We start from the raw sequence: 25,062 nt of genomic DNA, 5'->3' as shown, positions 1-25,062 counted from the left end.
CAGAAACAACAACTTTTGTATAGGATTTTTAGCAAGAGGATAAAAGGTAAAAAATGTCAATAATTTGAACAAGCTAAAAAAAATGGGGAAGAAACAAAACCAAGCCTTGATTCTAAAAGTCTAGGGTAAGTAATGGGGATCAAAGCTCGACTGAAGAAAAAGCAAGAATTCAACATGTAAAGAGAGGCTGCAAGAGGAGATGCCTTCATGTGACCTTGGATGTGAGGAGCAGAAACAACAGGTGAAGGCAGAGCCTAATACAGACAGGACTTCTAGAACAGTCTTTTTGAGACCTTTACAAGCCTTTCTATTTTATTTTAAACAGCTTTATTCAAATATAATTAACATAGCAGGCTTCTAGAACACTCTTTTTTGAGACCTTTACAAGCCTATTTTATTTTAAACAGCTTTATTCAGATATAATTTACATAGCAGGCTGGACGCAGTGGCTCATGCCTGTAATCCCAGCACTTTGGGAGGCGGAGGCAGACGGATCACTTGAGGTCAGCAGTTCGAGACCAGCCTGGCCAACAAGGTGAAACCCCATCTCTACTAAAAATACAAGAATTAGCCAGGTGTGGTAGCAGGCGCCTGTAGTCCCAGCTACTAGGGACTGAGGCAGGAGAATCGCTTGAACCTGGGAGGCGGAGCTTGCAGCAAGCTGAGATCATGCCACCGCACTCCAGCCTGGGCAACAGAGGGAGACTCCATCTCAAAAAAGATAAAAATAATTTATATACCATATAATTAATGCACTTAAAGTATATAATTGAATGGTTTTTAATATATTCATCGATATGTGCAACCATTACCACTGTCAATTTTAGAATTTTTCATCACCTCCAAAAGAAACCCTAGCTCCTTTAGTGGTCATATCCCTAGGCAACCACTAATCTACTTTCTGTCCCTATATATTTGCCTATTCTGGACATTTCATGTAAATAATATCATATAATATGTGGCCTTTTGTGATTGGCTTCTTTCACTTAGCATAATGTCTTCAATGTTACAACAACCAGTTTGTAGCATTTATCAGTATTTCATTCCTTTTGTGGCCAAATAATATTCCACTGTATGGACATACCACATTTTGTTTATCCATTCATTAGCTGATAGATATTTGGGTTGTTTCTACCTGTACACTATTGTGAATAGTGCCACTATGAGTATTTGTGTGTAAGGTTTTGCCTAAATATTCTCAATCCTTTGAGGTATAGACATAGGAGTAGGATTGCTGGGTCATTATGAATTTTTCTTTACATCATAAAGACAGATTCCTGAGGTTAAGCCCATCCACCAGCACAGAAGTAATCTCTTCTGAGAGTCTAAGAACTCAGTAAACCTTGATCTATGCAATGACGGATAATAGCAATAGAAAGCAGCTGCAGACCAAAATGCTAAATAAAGCACTTCTAATAGAAGCAGAAAAAGGTACAAGAAAGAACATGCTGCAGCACAACTTAAGCCCCAAACCAGAAGACCAATGGGTCTTTTCTTGACTGTAAACCTTAACGGGAAAGTAGCTGACACACAACTAACCAAAAAATAGACACATTAGCATCTGAGCTAAAAAAAAAAAAAAAAAAGTGATACATTCATATTGTTTTTACAGCAAACAGATGGCATCGCCATTTATTGACTTTTTTGTGCCTATCTCTTTAAAATGAACAAACGAGAGAGAAACGGACAAAAGGAAACTCAGGAAACGGACAATGCAGGGTACAGAGGCAAATTAATTAAAAAAAAATAATATCCTTAGAGCAATAAAATAAAACTAGAGCAGAATTCTAAAAAGGGATTAATTTTAAAAATAAGGATTCTTGGAAATTTGTAAGATAATGGAAATAAAAGTTCAATAGAAGGGCTGGGAATCTGAAGTCAAGGAAATCTCACAGAATAGAATAAAAAGTTGAAGCGATAAAAAACAGGGAGTGATGTCATGAAGCCCAACATCCTCTTAATATGACTATCAGAAAGAGACTAAACACACAGTGAAAAGGAAAATATCAAGAAAATAATGGGAAGTTCAAAGACCACAGCCCAGTAAGTAAGAAAAGGCCCACACCAAGTCACATCACTGAAACTTCAGAGCACAGCTTAAAAAAAAGAAAAAAAAAAAAGTTAAAAACTCTAGTTAAACAAAAGTAGACACCTAAAACTGGTCACATAAGAAGGAAGAGGAATTGTAATAAACGTTGTCTTCTCAAAAAGAACAGCAGGAGTGACATCAGCAAAAATAGAAGAGAAAGAACCTGCAAAAGTCTCTCCTCTATCAAAGCACCAAAAAAAAAAAAAAAAAGAAAGAGCGGGGGAGGGGGGTGCAAAAATCATTTAGAATCTACTTTGACAGAATTCTGGAAATTAACTAAAGGCATGCAGCAATCTGGGGAACATTTATTCAAGTAAAACAACTGAATCCGTATAAGAACAGTAAGCATTTTAACTTGCTCCCATCTGCTCCCCCTCCCTCCAATCAATATGCAATCAGAGTGAAACCAGCAGCCTGGTAGCTGCTGGGAAGACTGTATTTATTTGACCTGACTCTGAGCTCCCCAGTACAAAAGTCTTGCACCCCACCCCCATCCCTGGAAACATCTGTCAAAAACAATTAGAAGTAACTGATTAATTTGAGGGCTGCAGAAGAAACTGGACAACAGCTAGGGCAAACAATAAGGCTAACCAAAAAGCTTAACAGGAAGGTCTAGGGAATGAGATAGCCATAGGGGCTTTGAAAACCTCAGCTATCTCCTGGGAATCTGGAAGGCCATACTCATGCCCAGGGTCATGCTCAGGAAAGACACTGAGAAGGCCCTAAGCTCTCACCTCTAATTGCTCTATGCGAGCAGGACCTAAAGGTTAAGGCACAGTTGTTAACTGCCTGGCTGAGTGTTGAAGATATTCTCCTGAACACTTCTATACACACACAGAGTCCCTTGGCAAAGACTGGGAAACTTACTGATTCCAGGTATTTGAGGAAATCTCAGTCCAGTCATTAGCTGACCACTAAGCTAAATGAGCAGAGACTTCAGAAGCCACACACAACAAAGAATTCAAACTTAAAAGAATTAACTCCAAAAAAAAAAAAAATTACAAAACAACAACAAAGACAGCCTTGGGGAGACAGCAGTATCTGATCTGCAGAGCTGTCAAAATATATTATTTTAAATGTCCAGTTTTCTATAAAAATAACAAGATATGAAAAAAACAAAAAAGTATTGCCCATACACAGGCAAGGAAAAATCAGTCAATAAACTATACCTGAGTCAGTAAACTCACACTCCGTAAACAAACACTAAAGAACTAAAGTATAAGGATGTCTCAAAATAGAAAATTTTAAACGATACAACAATAAAATATAGGGCAATAAAATGATATGCATCAACATTTAGCAAAGGTGAAAAAAACAGGATAGATATTATATAAGAGAACTAAGTTGAAATTCTGGAATTGAGAAGTACAATAAATGAAATGAAAAATAAACGAAATGAAAATTTCACTAGAGGGGTTCAACAGCATATTTGAGCATGTGAAAGAAAAGAATCAGTGAGAGTGAAGACAGGTCAATTGAAATTATCCAGTCTGAGAAACAGAGAAATGACTCATCACATATGTGCAATATTCAATAAGATTGTAACAGCTGATTTCTCATCCAAACCATGGAGGCTGGAAGGCAGTGAGATAACATATTCCAAAGTGCTGAAAGAAAAAGACTATCAACAAGAATTCTATAACCAGCAAAACTATCCTTCAAAAATGAAGGAGAAATTAAGACATTTCCAGATAAGCAAAAACTGAGAGAGATGATCACTGACAGACATGGGCTATCAAGAAATACCAAAGGGAATCCTTCAGGCTGAAACAAAAGGATACTAGACAAAACATTGAATCCATGTTTAGAAATAAACAGTGCCAGTAAAAGTTATTACAAAAGTAAATCTAAAGGAAAATATGAGTATATTTTTTGTTTGTAACTCTTTTTGTGTCCTATCTGATTTAAAAGACAATTGAATAGAACAATAATTATAAATCTCTGTAGACAGGCACACAATGTACAAAAATGTATGTTATATGACAATAACAGCACAAAGGATGGGTGGGGAGGGGAAAAGGCCTATTTAGGAGAAAAGTCAGTGTATACTATTGAAAGCAAATTGGTATTAATCTGAACTAGATTATAAATTAAGGTGTTAATTGTAATCCCCAGGATAATTACTTAAAAAACTCAAAGAAATATAGTAACAAAAACAAGAACGAAATTAAAATGATATAATACAAAATATTTTAACAAAAGACAGTGATAATGGAGAAATAATAAAAAATGATATGACATATATTGAAGACAAAACGGCAAACATAAACCAAAATTACTGTTAATTACATTAATAGTAATTATATTAAATTTAATTGATCTGAACATTCCAATTAAAAGGTGGACATTGGCAGAATGGTTTTAAATTCTAACTGTATGCTATAAAGAGACACATTTTAGACTGAAAGGCACAAAGAGGTTTAAACTAAAAGTCTGGAAAGTTACACTATGAAAACAGAAACAAAAAGAGTTGGGATGGTTACACTAACTTCAAACAAAATATACTTTTAAACAAAAACTGTTATAAGAGACAAAATAGTACATTTTTTAATGATATAAGGTTAATACACAAAAAAGAGATAATAATTAAAAACATATATGTACTCAACAGAGCTCCAAAATACATGAAGCAAAACTGATGGAACTGAAGGGCGAAATAGACAATTCAACAATAATTGGAGATGACTTCAATACTCCACTTTCAACAATGGATATAACAATTACAAGATCAACAAGGAAAGACAAGCTTGTACAACACTGCAAACCTACTAAACCTAATAGCTATCTGTAGAACATTCAACAGCATCAGAATGCACACTTTTCTCAAGTACACATGGAACATTCTCCAAGACAGACCCTATGTTAGGCTGTAAAACAAATCTCAATAGATGTATACTTGAAATCATACAAAGTATGTTTCCAATCACAACAGAATGAAATTTAAATGATTAAGAGAACACATGGGAAATTCACAAGTATGTGGCAATTAAACAACACAATCCTATTAACCAATGGGAAAAATCCAAAAGGAAACTAGAAAATACTTTGAGATGAATGAAAATGAAAACAAAACATTAAAAACTTGTAAGATAGACAAAGCAGTGCTTAAAGTAAAATTATAGTTGTAAAATGTCTCAAATGAATAACCAAAACTTCCACCTTAAGAAACTAGAAAAACAGGAGCAAAATAACACCACAGCAAGCAGAAGGAAGGAAATTATAATAAAGCCTAGAGTGTAATTAATGAAATACAGAATAGAAAAATGGAGAAAATCAATGAAATAAAAAATTGGTTCTTTAGAAAGATTAACAAAATTGATAAGTATTTAGCTATATTGACCAAGAAAAAAAAAGAAGACTCAAATTTATAAAACCAGGAATGAAAGTGGGGACATCACTACCAATCTTACAAAAATAAAAAGAATTATTAGGGAATACTATGAACAATTGTGTGTAATAATTAGATAACCTAAATGAAATGGACAAATTCCTATAAAAACACAAACTATAGGCTGGGCGTGGTGGCTCATGCCTGTAATCCCAGAACTTTGGGAGGCTGAGGCAGGTGGATCACGAGGTCAGGAGATCGAAACCATCCTGGCTAACACGGTGAAACCCCATCTCTACTAAAAATACAAAAATTAGCCAGGCATGGTGGCGGGTGCCTGCAGTCCTAGCTACTCGGGAGGCTGAGGCAGGAGAATGGCGTGAACTCGGGAGGCGGAGCTTGTAGTGAGCCAAGATCCTGCCACTGCACTCCAGCCTGGGCGACAGAGCAAGACTCTGTCTCAAAAAACAAACAAAAAAACACACACAAACTATAGACACAGCTCAGGAGCTCAGGAAGAAATGGACAATCTAAATAGATATCAAATGTATTGTTTATATTTATTTATTTAATTATTATTATTTGAGACAAAGAGTCTTGATCTGTCACCCAGGCTAGAAAGCAATGGCACAATCTTAGCTTACTGCAACCTCTGCCTCCCGGATTCAAGTGATTCTCCTGCCTCAGCTTCTCGAGTAGCTGGGATTACAGGCACGCACCACCGTGCCTGGCTAATTTTTGTATTTTTAGTAGAGATGGAGTTTTGCCATGTTGGCCAGGCTAGTCTCAAACTCCTGACCTCAGGTGATCCACCTGCCTTGGCTTCCCAAAGTGCTGAGATTACAAGCGTTAAGCCACCGTGCCTGGCCTATTATTTATATTTATAAATAGCTATCCATAAATATGAATATATAACAAATAGAGATTGAACTAGTAATCAAAAGTCTTTCCACAAAGACAAGCTCAGGCCCAGAAGTCTTCACTGCTGTGTTCTACCAAACACTGAAAGAATTAATACCAATCCTTCAAAAACTCTTCCAAAATGTAGAAAGAGAGGGAAATTCCCTACTCATTCTATAAGGCCAGTGTCATCCTGATACTAAAACCAAACACATCACAAGAAACTACAGACCAATAAACATACCTTATGAACATCAACGTAAAAATCCTCAACAAAACAACATAAACCATAAAAAAATTGAGACTTATCCCAAGAATGCAAGGTTGGTTTGATATAGAAAAAGCAATGTAATACACTACTTAATAGAACAAAGAACAAACCACACAATCATTTCAATCTTCACAGAAAAAGCACTTGACAAAATTGAACATCCTTTCATGATAAAAACACTCAAACTAAGAATACAGGCAAATTTCCTCAATCTGATAAAGGGTATCTATGAAAAAAATCAGAGCTAACATCATACTTAATAGTGAAAGACAAGAAGTTCTCCCCCTTAGTATCAGAAAAAAGACAAGGATGTCTCCTGTCAGCACTTCTATTCAACACTGTACTAGAGGTTCTAGCCACACTTACATCTTTTTGCAGAGACATGATCATTTATATAGAAAATTCTAAGTAATCCACAAAAATTTACTAGCACTAATAAAGACATTTGGCAAGGATGCAGGATACAAGATCAGTACAAAAAAATCAGTTATATTCCTATCCACTAGCAATAAGCAATCCAAAAAATGGAATTAATAGAACAATTCCATTACAATAGCATCAAAAATAATAAAATACTTAGGAATAAATTTAAAAGTCCAAGACTTGTACACTAAAAACCACAAAACATTATTGAAAGAAAGCAAAGAAGACCTATAAAGATGCCCTGTGTTGTAAGTGTAAAGATATCTTGTATTCATGAATTAGAAGAGTTAATATTGTTAACTCTAAGATGGCAACACTTCCCAAATGATGCCCATCAAAATTCTAGCTGGCATTGTTTTTTTGCAGAAATTGACAAGCTGATCCTAAAACCCATGGAAATGCAAGAACCCATAACAGCCAAAATAATCTTGAAAAAGAAGTTGTAGGACTCACACTTGCAAATTTCAAAACTTAAAGCTACAATCATTGAGACAGGCATTAAGTACTTGCATAACGAGAGATATATACATCAATGAAATAGAACTGAAAATCCAGAAATAAATCCCATACATTTATGAGCAATTGATTTTTGACAAGGGTGACAGGGCAATTGAATGGGGAAAGAATAGGTTTTTCACAAATAGTACTGGGACAACTGGATATCCACATGCAAAAGAATGAAGATGAACCTCTACCTCAAACCATGTACAAAACTTAACTCAAAATGGATCGAAGACCTAAATATAAAAGCTAAAACTATAAAACTCTTAGAAACATAGGCATAAGTCGTCAAGACTTTGGAGTAGGCAATGGTTTCTTAGACATAAAACTGAAATCACATGCAATGTGAAAAAAAAATTGAAAATTTTCAAAACTAAAAACTTTGGCTGGGTGTGGTGACTCACACCTGTAATCCCAGCACTGTGGGAGGCCAAGGTGGGAGGACTGCTTAAGTTCAGGAGTTCAAGACCAGCCTGGGCAACATAGCAAGACCCCATCTCTATTTAAAAAAGCAAAAAACAAAAAAACACAACTTTGTACTTCAAAGGATACTATCAAGAAAGTGAAAAGAACCCACGGAATGGGAGAATATACTTGCAAATCATACATCTCATCAGGGACTAGTAACCCCTATATACATATATATATATCTAGAGAGAGTGTATATATATATACACACACATAGAATATATACACACAAATAGAATATATATAGGGTGTATATATATACACACACATATATGTATATATGCGTATATATACACATATGTATGTATATATGTATATGTATGTGTGTGTATATATATACACACACATAGAATCCCTATATATATATACACATATACATGAGAGAGAACCGTTACAACTCAACAATAAAAGACAGCCAATTTTAAAACTGAAAAAAGGATCTTAATCTACATTTCTTCAAAGATACACAAATGGCCGATCAGCAAATGAAAAGATGCTCAACATCATAGTCATTAGACAAATGCAAATAAAAACCACACTGAGATACCACTTCACACTCACAATAATGTCTATAATAAAAAAGACAGACTACAATTGTTGACAAGGACGAGGTAAAACAGGAACCTTCACACATTGTTGATGACAATGCAAAATGGTGCAGGTCCTTTGGAAAACAGTTTGGCAGTTTCTCAAGTTAAACAGAGTTTCCTATGATTCAGCAATTCAATTCCTAGGTATATACATAAGATAACTGAAACACATGTTCACACAATAATTTGTACACAAACATTCATAGCCATATTATTTATAATAACCAAAAAATAGAAACAAACCAAATGTCTATCAACTGATGAATGGATAACCCAAAGGTGTTATATCCATATAACAGAATATCATTTGGTCATAAAAAGGAATGAAGTACAAATGCATACTATAACATTATACTAAGTGAAAGAAGTCAGTAACAAAAGACCACATACTGCATGATTAAATTTATATAAAATGCCCAGAAAGAGAAATACACAAACAGAAAATAGATCAGTGGTTGCCAAGGGCTAGAAGAGAGAAAAACGGGAAGTGACTTCATAGGTACTGCGTATTTTCCTTTTTTTCTTTTTTTCAGATGGAGTCTCAATCTGTCACCCAGGCTGGAGTGCAGTGGTGCAATCTTGGCTCACCGCACCCTCTGCTGCTGGGTTCAAGCGATTCTCGTGCCTCAGCCTCCTGAATAGCTGGGATTACAGGCGCCTGCCACCACACCCAGCTAATTTTTTGTATTTTTTGTAGAGATGGGGTTTCACCATGTTGGCCAGGCTGGTCTTAAACGCCTTACCTCAGGCAATCTGCCCAACTTGGCCTCCCAAAGTGCTGGGATTACAGGCATGAGCTGCTGTGCCTGACGGAGTACTTGGGTTTTTTCTTAGGACTGATGAAAATGTTCTAAAATGAGACAGCGGCAATACTTGAATAACCTTATGAATTCCACTGAATTGTACCTTTTTTAAAAAAGGAACAATGGATGCCTTCAAAATTTTGCAGGATGATTATTCTCAGCTTCGAATTTCATATACAAACTTAAATATTGGGATAATAGTATAGGGAAACTGGCCCTTGGGCTAGGGGAGGGGAGGGGAGCAGGTGCTCTATTAAAGAGAGCTAACTCCTCAACTACTATAACAGAAAGGTAATATTTACTGTTTAAAATGTAAACATTAGGCCAGGTGCAGTAGCTCATGCCTGTAATCCCAGCACTTCGGGAGGCCGAGGCAGGCGGATAACACGAGGTCGAGTTCGAGACCAGCCTGGCCAATATGGTGAAACCCTGTCTCTACTAAAATACAAAAAATTAGCTAGGCGTGGTGGCGGGTGCCTGTTATCCCAGCTACTCGGGAGGCTGAGGCAGGTGAATCACTTGAACTCAGGAGGCAGAGGTTGCAGTGGGCGAGATCACACTACCGCATTCCACCCTGGGGCAACAGAGCAAGACTCCATCTCAAAAAAAAAAAAAAAAAAAAAAAAAAGTAAAGAAAGACTAAGAATCTCTGAGTAATGAGGCCTACAAAGGGCCAGGAACTGACACATTTGAATTTTTATAGTCTCTGCATTTATTACTTTAATATAAATTTTTAAATGATTATTAAAAAAGAAAAACACTATCATACTCTTAAACTGGAGCCATGCACAGTGGCTCACACCTGTAATACTAGTGCTTTGGGAGGCCAAGGTGGGAGGATCACTTGAGGCCAGGTGTTTTGAGATCAGCCTGGGCAACAAAGTGAGACCTAGTCTCTACCCACCAAAAAATTCTTTTAATTAGCCAGGCTTGCATGCCTGCAGCCTGCAGTCCCAGTTACTCTGGAAGCCATGGGAGGAGGATTGCTTGAGCCCAGGAGTTCAAGGTCACAGTGAGTGATGATCACACCACTGCACTCCAGCCTGGGTGACAGAAAACAATTTTTAATAAAATGTAAAAGAAGAAACTGGGCCACCTGAACAATGTAATAGAAAAGGCCTAGCACTGGGGACAGAAGACTGGATATCATGTCCCATAGCATTTCTGCCCTGTGTGATCCTGAGCTAATCACTGTGTCTTAGTCTCCACACCTGTAAAAGTGAGGATAAAATTACCTACGTCATGAGAATCAAATGAAACCAGTAGATTAGAAAGCACTGTTTTAAAATTTTTTAAATTATATATAAAATACTATCTCCATAATACTGCAACTACCCAAATATTTTAGATCTTACTTATCAAAGAGATATTAATGATAAATTGTCTGTCTCCAAGATTTATTTTAACTTGAATCACCTCGACGGGGGACCTGCATAGAAAAGACTCAAGGGATAACTATAATCCACCAGCTCAATGAAGCAATGTGCTTATTATCTATTACAGACAAGATTCTTTTCCCCTGAGAGTAGATTATGTCTTTTAGAAATTATGCGTATGGTTACCTTTGCATGTCTGTTCATCAATTACAAAAAAAAAAAAAAGAAAACAAACCATTAAACACATTTACCTTCACAGTCAAATCCTCATTACCCAGCGTGACATGAACTTGAATAGGGGGGTAAACACCTCTGTTGGCATGGTGTTCCATAGTGGCTCTCATTGCATTCTGAAATACATTAGGGTTGTATTAAAAATACAGCTTTTTAGAAAAGAGAAAGTGTAATTTTCAAGTACATATGCACTATTTGAAGTTTTAAAATTTGATGGAAATATGCCAAAGAATCACAATTCTTATAACCACATTTAAAGTTTTTTTTTTAATGGAGTCAATTTGGGGGGGATTTGAAGGATATTCTGACCTAAAGACTCCAACTAAATTTTGCTTATTTTCCAAAGTCAGACTTCAAAACACTTTTAACTAGTTACATTAAAGCAGAAAACTCTGTTCAAACACTTTTATAATTTTAGTAAATGATGGGCAAAACATTTTTGAAAATGTAGTTTCAGCTATATTTTTAGAACTATTTAAAAAACTGTCATAAATTTCTTTAAAGGAAAGCAATTTTTTTCATATAGTAGTAACAGCGATGGTCGTATTTGATGGAGCAATGAATCCCTTTATCTCTAGTTTGAAATTAAGGGTATTGTCATTGTAAAGCTGCTTTGACTAATTTCTAAAGGAAATAGGGTACACAGTGCCAACATATCAGAAGCCTTAAACAATATCATGACATTCAGCATTGCAGTAGAAAATGATATAAACTAGATGTAACTAAAAAGGCATCCGAATTTGGAAGTAAGAGTGTGTGGCCCTGGCACAGCAATTGCGATTGAGTCCTCTTATGGAGGAGATTCCATCATTTCCACCAAAGGCAGGTTAAGATTAGGTTCCAGGTGAAAGCCATTATTACTGACATTATGTACAATATAATACGGAGTGCCTCAATCATAGGGCACAAGATCTTTATGCCACTGGAATTTCAAGGAAAAAATTCGTGTTAATGCTTGAAGTGCCCATCACTACTTGTTTAACTACTTGGATAAAAAGATTTTAGGGCTAGGTGCAGTGGTTTATGCCTGTAATCCCAACACTCTGGGGCAGGACTGCTTGAGGCCAGGAGTTCAAGGACAGCCTGGGTAACAGAGTGAGACCTCAACTCTACAAAAAATAAAATAAATATTTTAAAAAAGATTTTGTAAGGTATTAAATACATTTTTGCTGTCTTGGAAGAAAGAACATTCTGCTGCTGTTCTAAGATATTCGGTCAGTTTTTCTGTGTTTCAGTGCACTTTTCCTTTACATTATCAGATTGAAAGCCACCCCCTCTTTCCTCTAGTTTGCTGCTGGCTGATGAAACACAACTGAAGAGAGACTACAAGCTTCTGATAGAGGGCAATCATTTTCACCCACCAGGACCTGTGCCCCTCACTCCTCACCCATTTTCTTGTCAACCAGCAAGTATTATTGGCGGGGAAAAAAGATACTCTCAATATTAGTAGCATAATTTGTTTTCAAATTTTGTTGTAAAGAGCAAAGATTACAGCAGAAACCCTGTAAGTCAATATAAATGACCTCCCCCTCCCAAGAAAAGCCAGACCAAAAAAAGAATTCTGGTCCTTTGAGGGTAGCAAGTTGAGAATCACTCTTCTAAATATTGTTTTATAAAAACATAAAGATAACTCTATTGAGCACCTATATGTAATACGTTGCCACTGTACTGGACACTTAGTATGTTATTCCCAATAGTCATAAACAATCCTGGACAGTATTCTTGTTTTACAGAAAAGGAAACTGAGGCTCAGAGAGGTTGAGTGACTTGCCCAAGGTCACACACATATTAAGAGCCATAATTGGGATTCAAACCCAGGTCTTTCTGACTCCATAGTCTGAGCTCACCACTACATGGAGATGTCTCCCTGTGTTGATAAAAAGCTGATCTCCAGCAATGTGATATGATACTGATGTGAAATGGCACTTCTTAATAGGAGAACCTAGTGGAATATTTGGCTTTCAGAGCAGATTCCTAACCTCAGAAAAGTACTGGTAAAGGTTATGTAATACTATTTTACAAACCTTGAAAAGTTCAAACACCATGTGATAGAGATGGGATGGTACATAAACCACTTGTATTGGCTGTCCTGGTGATTTTGCTACAGAGCAGAAGAGAAAAATATGAAAGTACAGAGAGATGTGCTTAAAGCATTTTTAAGAATAAACTGTGTAGTGATGAAAAGAAAACATTAACTACGGAGGACAGTATTACCTGGGGGAGAACTGCCACACCATTTCTTCAATGTATTAGTGTTTGAACCCATACCCACAAATATTTACAACTGATGATGACAAGAGTCCTGTGGTCACTTCTCACAATCTTGCATCACAATCGAACCAACCCATGCGCCCATTTTTCTCTAGGATGGTAAAGTCTTTTTTAAGATCGCTTAACTTTCGGGTAGGAATTTTACTTTCCAAATAGAGAAGTGTTAAAATCTTTAAATTCCACAGTCCAATTCACATGCATGCATACATTCTTCTTCTTCTTTTTTTTTTTTTTTTTTTTTTTGAGACGGAGTCTTGCTCTGTTGCCCAGACTGGAGTGCAGTGGCGCGATCTTGGCTCACTGCAACCTCCACTTCCCAGGTTCAAGCAATTCTCCTGCCTCAGCCTCCCGAGTAGCTGGGATTACAGGCGCCAACCACCACGCCTGGCTGATTTTTCTTTTAGTAGAGACGGGTTTCACCATATTGGCCAGGCTTGTCTCGAACTCCTGACCTTGTGAGCCACCCGCCTCGGCCTCCCAAAGTGCTGGGATTATAGATGTGAGCCACTGCGCCCAGCCCATACATTCTTTAAGCCATTTTCAAAATGTTTCACCTGGGTGGAATATTGTTTTATTTCAGGCATTTCGATGGATATAAAGCTGAATAAAAAATATGAGCTAGCATCAATTTCTCGAGACAGTAATTAATTCTACATTTAAACACTTAATAGGAGCCCCACTGGGGGTGGTGATAGGGGTGTGTATAAAACAGACATTTAGTAGAACAAATGATTAAGACTCATGATATCTTAGAATTCTAATTCAACCAATAAATCAGACCTTCCTCTGAATAAACTCCCCCTTGGGAACAAAAATGGGACATCTGGAAATTGCTCACAGCAGTTCAGGTTTGCAAACTATCACTTACTTGTACACTGTGATTGTTATTTACCAAATGCTATGCTACCATCATGGCTCAAAAGAGTTAATATGGCTTTAGAAAATCACCAAGCAATGCTATTTTCAATTGCATAACTTCACTGCTCTCTCACTCTAAGGTCCAGAATACAGCTTAGTAAAAGCCTATTTTGTTTTATTCTTCCCACACCTTCTTAAAGTGTCATCTTAGGAAATGCTTTTTTCTGTCAAACTACCATGCTTTCAGGAAAAAGAGACTCATCAATCCCTCTTCAAGGCATCTAAACCCTTTTTGTCCAAAAGGCACTAATCAGGGTAAAAAGAAAACCATCAGAGACAAACAGATTCTCAAATAGATGAGCATCTTTCTTTCCTCTTTTATAACCCCAGTCTATGTCCTCAACAACAGAAAATTATTTACAACTCAGGAAGTAGAAAAAGGGTAAGTCTTACATTAGTGAAGTGCATGTAAAAGTCAAATGTAACTTTCTTGGTATCATTTTCTTTCTATGACTAAACAGAAAATAAAAAATAAGCAAAGAATCAAAGTTATCAATTAAAAATAAAGAAAATGTGATACAAAAAGCCAAATCTTTTCATAAAGAATCTGACTAAATTACATATGTTTATAGATATATTTTTTACATGATTACTATCCTTTAGCCTTCATATCCAACGAAGTTGATAAAAAGTCATCTTCCATTAAAACATTTAAATTCTTATCCCTTATCAAGTAATCAAAGCACTAATTATTGAGAAAAAGACAACATCAGGCTTACCATTTAGTTCTTCAAGTTCTAGTTCGGGAGAGTTAATATAATACAAATCACACAGACGCCTAGCATTTTCATAGCCATCTAGTGTGAATCAAAACAAAACAAAAAAGGATTTAATAAATATACTTCTCTTTCACGCATTAAGATGGCAATGGTATTGACAAATCAAAGTCTTGAACTCTCTACAGAAGAAAATATACTTTGATAGTTTGGTGAAAGTCTGCTTTTTTTTTTTTTTTTTTTGGTAGAGACATGGTCTCCCTATATTGCTCAGGTTTGTCTCCAACTCCCAGGCTCAAGCCATCCTCCTGCCTTGGTGCTAGGATTACAGGCATGAACCACTGCCCCCAACCAGGGAAAGCCTTTCCTTTTTTTTTTTCCTTTGAGACGGAGTCTCGATCAACCAGGCTGGAGTGCAGTGGCGCTATCTCGGCTCACTGCAGCCTCCACCTCCCTGGTTCAAGCGATTCTCCTGCCTCAGCCTCCCAAGTAGCTGGGACTACGTAGGCATGGGTCACCACGCCCAGCTAATTTTTGTATTTTCAGTACAGAGGGGGTTTCACCATGTTGGCCAGGCTGGTCTCGAACTCCTGACCTCAGGTGATCCACCCGCTTCAGCCTTCCAAAGTGCTGGGATTATAGGCATGAGCCACTGTGCCTGGCCCAGGGAAAGTCTAAGTGTGACATGACAAAGCTGAATAGCCATAAACAATGAATGACAAATATAACTACAAAAAAAATGTAAAAGTCTATATGCTAAAAAGACACCAACAATGTAAAAAAGAAAAATAACAGGCTGGAGAAAATAATTGCTATCTATGTAACAAAACTTAAGAGTTGGTTAGGAAACACTCTTATCCATTGTTTGAAACCTTTTTGGAGATACCAAAATTTTATATGCATTTAAATGTTTTTAATTCTAGGAATCTCACCTCTAAAATACTAGCAAAAGTGAGCGTGTATTTAAGGATGTTCACAGCAGTACTGCTGGTATTGGTGGTAACAGAAAAAAATTAAAACAACCTAAGTGTGCATGAACAGGAGAATTAATTAACACATACTGATACATTCCATAGAGCCATTCAAAACCTTGGAGCATATCCAGATGTACTGAACAGCAAGATGTCTGTAAACTTGTAGAAAAAAACATAGAGCACCCCATTTTCTAAAAACAACAATGTAAGACCAACATCAATTGTGTATGTGTACAAGTGGTATAAATAGAAAAAAGTGTGAAATGATTCAAACCAAATTGTTATGAATTACTGCTCATAGTGTAAGAATTAGAAACAGGGCAGTAGGGACTTCAATTCTTTTTTAAGTGAAAGATACCCTCAGCTGGGCTCGGTGGCTCACGCCTGTAATCCCAGCTCTTTGGGAGGCCGAGGCAGGCAGGCAGGCAGGCAGGAGTTCCAGACCAGCCTGGCCAACATGGTAAAACCCTGCCTGCACTAAAGATACAAAAATTAGCCAGGCGTAGTGTTGAGCATCTGTAATCCCGGCTACTGGGGAGGCTGAGGCAAGACAATCGCTTGAACTCAGGAGGCAGAGGCTGCAGTGAGCTGAGATCACACCACTGCACTCCAGCCTGGGCAACAGAGTGAGACTCTGTCTCAAACAAAACAAAACAAAACAAAAAAGATATCCTCTATAGTATCACCAAACTTTGCCTAACAAATAATTCTATCAATAAAATAGTCATCCTATACATAATGCACAAATAATACTATAAGGTTATTTTCAAACCCATGCATTTGTGCCTACCATTTTATCTCATGATACAAATAGATGTTTTAATAGTAAGAAATAACAATAATTTTGATTTTTGTATCTTTTTTTGCAAGGAGAAATGTCAGTATTTACCTTTAATAACTTCAAGTACATTGCAGTTTGGATTTATGCTTCCAATGTGTTTTCGATGAGATGGACTTCCTTTGCCTTTTCCACCAAACAATAAAGCTATCCAAAAAGGAAAAAAACCAACAAAATAAGCTAAACCACCTAATGCTCTTTTCCAAATCTGAATACTGTTTAAATTGTACCAAACAGAACAAATATTTTCCTTTAGGATAAACATAGTATTTTACATTCAATAAAAACACCTTTCTTGATGGCAGTCTATTTATTTTTCTTAATTAGCCAAAAGGTAAAACTAAATTTCCTACCTAAATGGAACTTTCCTAAATAAATTTAAAATATGCCAACACATCTCATTTAGCTTCTTCTCTTGACTCATGAGGGACACTTACAGTGCTGATTGAGTAACATTCTAATTGAAATGCGACTCATGTAGAATCGATCCAAAAAGTACTGAACATTCTGGCTGGTGACAGGATCCACCCCAAAGCTCTCCTTGTATTCAATCACACCCTGGGCCATTGTGGGAATGACATCATTGTGTCGGTTTCTGATCCGTATCACAGTATCTGTAAAGCTAAACAAACCCATCTGTCAAAACAGCCAAATATTTTGACAAGTAAACTTAATACAAAAATATAAGCTTAACCAACTATGCTAGACAAAAAATCCCCAATTTAATAAAAGGAAAATCGGTTCATGTTTTCCTATACTTATTTAAATGTATTTCAGATCATAAAATATACCAAATCTATGAAAGTATACAGACCTCCAAAATAAAACTTTCAAGATTTAATTCTTTTCTTGGCTTCCTAAGAGTAAGGCTGCCACAAAACGTAATCCAAAAAATGTTAATGGTTTTAACTGTTATCAACTAAGGTCATCTGAGCACTGGCTAAGAGGATGGTATTCCAGAGACATTCTGCATAGGAGGAGACAAAGCACTTGCCTCTAGAGAACACCTGCTCTGCTCTGCAAGGAATCAAGATGAATGAGCCAATAAAGCCTGCCTGTTTTGGACCTATTCCCTAGGGTTCAAAGAGAGAAGGAAACACTTAGGACAGAAAAACAGAAAAGAATTCTCATTTCACTCATCCTATGAGTTTATAAAATGGGAGAGGAAAAGTAAACAATTATATTAAAAGACAAATCTTCAAATCATCTAGTCTTCCCATCTCTGTCACTTAGAAGACACTGCATGGTTAAATAACTAAATAAAAGAGAAAATAAGTCTTTTTTTTTTTTGAGATGGAATTTTGCTCTTGTTGCCCAGGCTGGAGAGCAATGGCGCAATCTCGGCTCACTGCAACCTCCACCTCCCGAGTTCAAGTGATTCTACTGCCTCAGCCTTCCTGAGTAGCCGGGATTATAGGCATGTACCATGATGCCTGGCTAATTTTGTATTTTTAGTAGAGACAGGGTTTCTCCATGTTGGTCAGGCTGGTCTCGAACTCCCGACCTCAGACGATCCGCCCGCCTCGGCCTCCCAAAGTGCTGGGATTACAGGCGTGAGCCACCGTGCCCGGCCCAAGAAGTCTTAATTATGCAGTAACGAAACCAATTTTCTAACATAACCCATCTGAATTTACACTTCCAAATGAGTGCTTTCCTATTCAAAGTCATCATCCTGAGTACTATTAACTTATTCCAATGATGTTTCCACTGCTTAAAACATTTTTGGAATTCCTAGTTAGTAATGCGCTTCAAAACAAGACTGTTAAACTAAAATACAAACAACAAAACTCTTCAAAAACAACAAACAACTCATCATTCTAGTCACTCCTTTATTATTTTCTTTCTGCTTCAAAGAAACACAAATCTGTATTATTCTGCTTGACTACTTATTTTCCACAGCTCTGAATGACTGTTTTCAGAAGGCTCTATAACATAATGTTTACTTTTAAAGTAAGACTGCTTGGATTCTACCATTTGCTAACTATGTAACCTTAAACTACTTACCCTCTTTGTGCACAAACAGCATTATTTCAATGAATTGTTTTAAAGATTAAAAAACATCATTCATGTAAAGTCTGCTCAATACCTAAGCAAGGAGTAAACTCTTGCTGAAGTTATTTTCAGATTAAAATCATGTTTAAAAAAATGAAGTGTTACTGTTCACTTTAAAGACAGTCCAAAAAACATGTGTAACTAACTGAGGACAAGAGATGGTCATTACACTCTCAGTACCCTTCACTGCAATAAGCAGGTAGCTGCATAAGGCAAATACTTTGGTTTACCAATTCTGGTATATGGGTTATTAACATTGTCATATTACTTACATCATCTTGCAGGCCATACAGCATAAACTAGAGACCTGCAACCATGTTCTTCTAGGCCTTCTGTGTTTTAAAAAATGTTTTAATTAGTTACCAATCTTTCAAAAGTGAGAGATTTTACATTACAAATCTAGACTTGTAGCTTTCCTTTAAAATCAGAAAACAATCAGATGATATGGGCAGTATTTTCATATGGCAAAGATCAGCTGGGGCTGAAGGTGGTTGTCCATTAGAAGGAGCATGCACCCTCCAGGTGAACAGTCCAACTGGCACTGAGGCCACACCTACATTTCCACTGATCATCACACCTGAACTTTGTCTTTTGTTAAAGAGGAACACGAAGCATTTCTTATGCCTAGTCAAATTTGCTGATTGTTATTTGTCCTGCCTGTATGGGCTGCTACAGTCACATATATCACATGTTCTAAAGTAGTAGAAACCTAAAAGTTAACCAATTTCCCCCAAGTGACCTAATAATAGGTTTAAGAATAGGGTCAAAATAGTGAACTTACTCATAAATAGCTTTAGCATCCTCAGCACTTTTGTCCTTAAAATCAAGAAGCTCCTGAAGACTCTGGATATACCTAAAATGCAGATCAATAGGATAAGTTTGTTCTTTTATATTCTGAAAGTTCAATATCATGAAAATTAGCTCAAAAGCTATTTTTAGCATTTTATAATTTTTAATTTAGAATACTGCTATAAATTATGGTTGAAGTATAATTTTTACACCCATGCACATTCAAGCAAAGTGCTGGGAATGAATGGTAGAAGGTGCACATTTTCTCCTAAAAGCAAAGGTCAAATTTAAGAATTTTAAGATTTTCCGAGTTCTACATTCTAAAATGGCTTTTAATTTTTTTTTAATTTACCACTGTACATTACAGTATATATACTGATTATGCTGAGATCTGTCACCAGTAACTATGTGATCTTGGGCAAATGACTTAATTTGTCTTATTATCAGTAAAAGGAGGACAGCCTCTCTTGCTCTAAGACTGTATCTTAAATATCTGTGCTTTAAAACCTTAATTTTACATATTTATGTCCAACTAACAAGTATTTATTGAAAGCCTATAATCTACATGGTTCTTTTAAACTGAACAAAAAACACAAAAGTCATAAAAATGTACATTTTAAATTTATCTAACAATTCGAAGTATCAAAGCATCTGTTAAGGAATGAGCAAAATAGAGAAGGCCAAATGATTTTCTGATGGTCTTGCAGGCAAGTACAATGGCACTGCGGGGCCAGAGCTAAAAATAACTTGCTACCACTGAATTACTTTCTTCGACAGTGTAAGGGATCTGCTCCACTTGGCTGTAAGCACTTTATCTGCAACTGTCCTAACTTAGCAGGCATCTAGGAGCAATGGAAGTGCTTTAAAAACCTGTAATTCCATCTGTTGGTTTGGAAAGCTGTTTCTGACAAGCAATATGTCTTACTGCATTCCAAAGTTAAGGGATTCTGATAGCAGCTGCTGCTTTGCTTTAACCCTTAATTTCCTCTTAATTGGCAAGAACAACTACGCTCTCCATCCAAGAGATATTTGAGTACCTACAACAGGCACCGATCAGACCTCATGACTGATAAGCTTCAAAAAGCAGCATATTCTACTTCTAATGAAGAATTTTTTAAAAACAGGAAAAATCTTCCATGGAATATTATATTTTCTCCATTATATCCCATCATAATTACTAAACAAATGCTTCCCATTTAATCCACACTTATAACTATTCCATACTTGGACTAGATAGCATCTGATTATCATATATATAGCAGTCATATTTTGCTTTTTTAAATTGCGATTAGATCAACTTCTCCCATACGCTATAATGCTTACAAAAAGAAAACTTGAATCTCCATGAATCATAACTGGGAAATGCCCTGCAGCTAAACCTTTTCCATTTAAGACTTAACTCTGGGCAACTCATTTGTTTGAAGCATACAGTGCTTAAAAGAACAACACTTTTAAATCAGTAACATTAATGAAGGCTGTATATAGGTGGCTCCATGAGTGTATACCCTTAACATCTCTACTTATCTTTGGGAAGAGATCACACTTTTTCTACACAATTCCAAAAACTTCTAATTGTTTTAAAACAGAAAAATAAACATTTTAACTTTTGTAATTTATAAAAAGATACCCTTCAATAAACACAGTTTATTAAAAATACATATATCCTTTCATATATTTCATCATTCTGACTATAGCACGGTATAGCAGAGATGGACAAATGGGGGTTTGAATCCCAACTCCACTATCAATGGTACTGTCTTACGCAAAAGATTTAACCTTTATGTGCCTCAGCATCCTCATCTGTACAGAGTTAACCTGCCAGGTGCGGTGGCTCATGTCTGTAATACCAACACTTTGTGAAGCCAAGGTGAGAGGACTGCTTGAGCCCAGGAGTTCACAACCTGCCTGGGCAAAAAAGTGAGACCCCCATCTCTACAAAAAAATAAAAGAATTGGTCAGGTATGGTGGCGCATGGCTGTGGTCCCAGCTGCTCGGGAGGCAGCTGCCTTAGCAGGAGAATCTCTTGACCCCAGGAGGTCAAGACTGCAGTGAGCCATGATCACACTACTGCACTCTAGCCTGGGTGATGGAGACCCTGTCTCTAAAAAGAAAATAAATTAATTTAAAAAATAATAAACAGGCTAGACACAATGGCTCATGCCCATAATCCCTGCACTTTGAGAGGCCCAGGTGGGCAAATACCTTGACCTCCGGAGTTTGAGGCCAGCGTAGGCAACATGGAAAAACCCCATCTCTGCTAAAAAATACAAAAATTAGCTGGGTGTGGCATGCACTTGTGGTCCCAGCTACTCAGGAGGCCGAGGTGGGAGGATCACCTGAGCCAGGGAGGTGGAGGTTGCAGTGAGCTGAGCTGTGATCACCACTGCACTCCAACCTGGGTGACAGAGTAAGAACCTGTCTCAAAAAAATAAGTAGGCCAGGAGTGGTGGCTCATGCCTGTAATCCCAGCACTTTGGGAAGCCAAGGTGGGAGGATCACCTGAGGTCAGGAGCTTGAGACCAGCCTGGCCAACATGGTGAAACCTCTATTTCTACTAAAAATACAAAAATTAGCCAGGCATGGTGGCAGGTGCCTGTAATCCCAGCTACTCTGGAGGCTGAGGCAGGAGAATCACTTGAACCCAGGAGGCAGAGGTTGCAGTGAGCCAAGATCATGCCATTGCACTCCAGCCTGGGCAACAGAGCAAGATTCCATTTCAAAAACAAAAAGTAAATAAAAATAATAACAATGAATAAAATGGAGAGAATCATACCCACTGTGCAAGGTTGTTGAAGGGATTAAAGGCAATATACATAAATACCCAGTCATCAACAAATTGCAGACATTTTTTCTTATAATATCCTTGAAGATATACTAACATAAATCCTAAATTTAGCATCTGTATTTCAGTGCAGTTTTGACTGGCTTTCTCAAAATCAAGAAGTTGTGGAGTCCACGATTCAGGGCACAAGCCCAAATACATTGCCCCCACCTGCCCCCAGCCAAAAAAAGAATACTGCTACTACCTTAAGACTCTGGTCGGGCACGGTGGCTCACGTCTGTAATCCCAGCACTTTGGGAGGCCAAGGTGGGTGGATCACGAGTTCAGGAGACCGAGATCATCCTGGCCAACATGGTGAAACCCTGTCTCTACTAAAAATACAAAAATTAGCTGGGCGTGGTGGCACGTGCCTGTAATCCCAGTTACTCGGGAGGCTGAGGCAGGAGAATCGCCTGAACCCGGGAGGCGGAGCTTGCAGTGAGGCAAGATCGCGCCACTGCACTCCAGCCTGGGCGACAGAGCAAGACTCCGTCTCAAACAAAACAAAACAAAACAAAAAAGATTCCACCAAAGAGTAAAAAAAAGCATTTGCTGTAACCTTGAATAAAGTCCACAACTCCATCAAATTGCAAACACAAGATGAGAATCTTACCAGCTTTGTACCAATTGAACGGATGGTGTCCTGAGAAGATTATCTGGAAGGAGACTTATTTCTTTCATTATATTTGCCAGTCTGACAGGCAACTCTTGCCGCAGAAACATAAATGAGGTCTTTTCACAAGCATTCACTGATCCTGAAACCAAACATGATGGGTAAAGCAGTAAGTAAAAGCCATAAGGAAACAGAAGGCAAGAGGCTGAGAGAAATAGAGAGGAAGTTATCCGGCAAGGCCAGAGGGATAGAATCACCACGATGGGGCAGGGAATAGGAGGCAAAGATACACCTGCCTGTGGGAGGCGAGGGATGAGATAACCCAGTCTCCAGAGTTATGACCTTCCAATTACTGACATTCCAATGGCTCTGTACAGCAATTACGATACTCTTGTCTCCCTAATTTGCATCCTTAAAGTGATCACCCATTTTAGAAGTTAGGTAACCTGAGCATGTCTGAGCAAGGCTTTATAAAATTAACAGCAGAACCTGGAAAAGTCTATCCTGTACACCCCGTTGCTGCTATCATTTAGAAAATCTGTTATCTAACTCTAGGTTTAAAAACAGTAAGTGCCTGTCTAAGAAACAGAAACTTTAAGCTGGTCCGAATGCAGTGGTATTTACAACTAATTGATCACAACCGGTTACAGATTTCTTTGTTCCTTCTCCACTCCCACTGCTTAACTTGACCAGCCTTAAAAAAATAAATTAAAAACAGGAGGCCAGGCACAGTGGTTCACGCCTATAATCCCAGCACTTTGCGAGGCCGAGGCTTGAGGACTGTTTGAGCCCAGCGGTTCAGGACCAGCCTGGGCAACACAATGAGACCTCACATATACAGAAAATAAAAAATAGCCGGGCGTGGTGGTGCTTGCCGGTAGTTCTAGGCTTGGGAGGCTCAGGCTGAAATTTGAGGTTACAGTGAGCTATGATAGCACCACTGCACTCCAGCCTGGGTGACAGAGTAAAACCCTGTCTCAAAAGAAAGAGGAAAATTTTGATGTTTGCATAGGAAGACTCACTGATTCCATATAGAACCACTAATGCTAATTACCATAAGCAAAGATTAAGTGCAGTCCGGGCATGGTGGCTCACACCTATCATCACTTTGGGAGGCCGAGGTGGGAGGATGGCTTGAGCCCAGGAGTTTGAGACCAGCCTGGGCAACATAGTGAGACCCCATTTCTATTTTTAAAAAAAAATACACACACACACACACACACACACACACACACACACGGGAAAAAAGAGTAAGTGCAGAGGAAAGCTTTCAAGCAACAGCAAAATTCACCACTGCCTGTTTGCACCATCTTCAAGTAGGTCCTATTCAATTGTCTGGTTACTGAAAGTCTCCTGACCCCTCTACACTCCCATATCAGGATCCCATATCACTCCCTAAGCAGAATCGTTGTAGAATGTCCTTTGGCAAACAGCTCCATTTAAAATTAAACTAAAAGGTCTTATTATTCCAGTAATGCATTTTAAACTTACTATTCTTGCTGCTTTAGAAGAGAAAACGTTAGCAAAAACTAGATTGTCAACAGTAGAAATTAAGGTACTAAAGGAAAACAGCTTGTAAAAGTTTTATGGCATACTCATGAATACCACCAAATTCGCCCCTTCCTCGAACTAGGGTCATTTTAAAGTAAAAACAAAAACCTAAGGCTTTGAGCCAAAAATTATGCCACTACAAACCACAGTTTTAAGACAAAGTTGCCAACCATGCAGGTATCGTTCAATGCAGAAGTCACAATGCAGAAGATAACCTTTGTACTCAAATTTTATGAATTCATTAAGGTTTTCCCTTTTCCCCTCATCGCCTTCACATGGGAAGTGGGATGTAAAAGTTAAAATGCCTAACTATGCAATTCCTTCTGCAATTTGTTGAACAGCTTCTAGAGAAAACCAAGATAATGTGGTAAATAAACTTCACAGCATCTTGTCCTCATGCACTCAACACGTGCCCAAGACTTACTTGCTGATGATGAAATGTGCTGTTGGTGCCAACAGTTTTAAGCCACTGGCAAGGAAAACATTCTAAGAAACCCTGGGCCAGTTATAATCTGCCTTCCCTATTATCACGCCAA

At 37.6% G+C, this 25,062-nt stretch overlaps 1 protein-coding gene across 36 annotated transcripts in view; it reads right to left on the bottom strand.

Annotated features, from left to right (window-relative positions):
• PDK1 (pyruvate dehydrogenase kinase 1) overlaps positions 1–25,062 on the bottom strand; it is a 168,940-nt gene that overhangs the window by 142,488 nt on the left and 1,390 nt on the right. For 14 of the 36 annotated variants that reach the window (XR_007076395.1, XR_007076394.1, XR_922944.3 and 11 more), the window contains exons 2-9: positions 22,976–23,117; positions 19,534–19,605; positions 19,025–19,084; positions 17,138–17,322; positions 16,752–16,847; positions 14,892–14,969; positions 13,008–13,084; positions 11,001–11,099 (exon numbers count right to left, since the gene is read on the bottom strand). Coding sequence is in view for 12 of the 36 variants with exons in the window: in NM_001278549.2 (NP_001265478.1) it covers positions 11,001–11,099; positions 13,008–13,084; positions 14,892–14,969; positions 16,752–16,847; positions 17,138–17,322; positions 19,025–19,084; positions 19,534–19,605; positions 22,976–23,117 (809 nt within the window). In the remaining 24 variants the exon portion in view is untranslated. Of the gene's footprint in view, positions 1–11,000; positions 11,100–13,007; positions 13,085–13,802; positions 14,626–14,891; positions 14,970–16,751; positions 16,848–17,137; positions 17,323–17,694; positions 17,715–19,024; positions 19,085–19,533; positions 19,606–22,975; positions 23,118–23,271; positions 23,603–24,950; positions 25,037–25,062 lie in introns of those variants that run through there. The other 22 variants (NR_103731.1, XR_007076402.1, XR_001738774.3 and 19 more) reach the window with 9 other exon arrangements.

This window comes from Homo sapiens, chromosome 2 (assembly GCF_000001405.40).
Source record: "Homo sapiens chromosome 2, GRCh38.p14 Primary Assembly".
NCBI lineage: Eukaryota > Metazoa > Chordata > Mammalia > Primates > Hominidae > Homo > Homo sapiens.
This window is presented reverse-complemented; position numbering and strand designations above follow the sequence as displayed.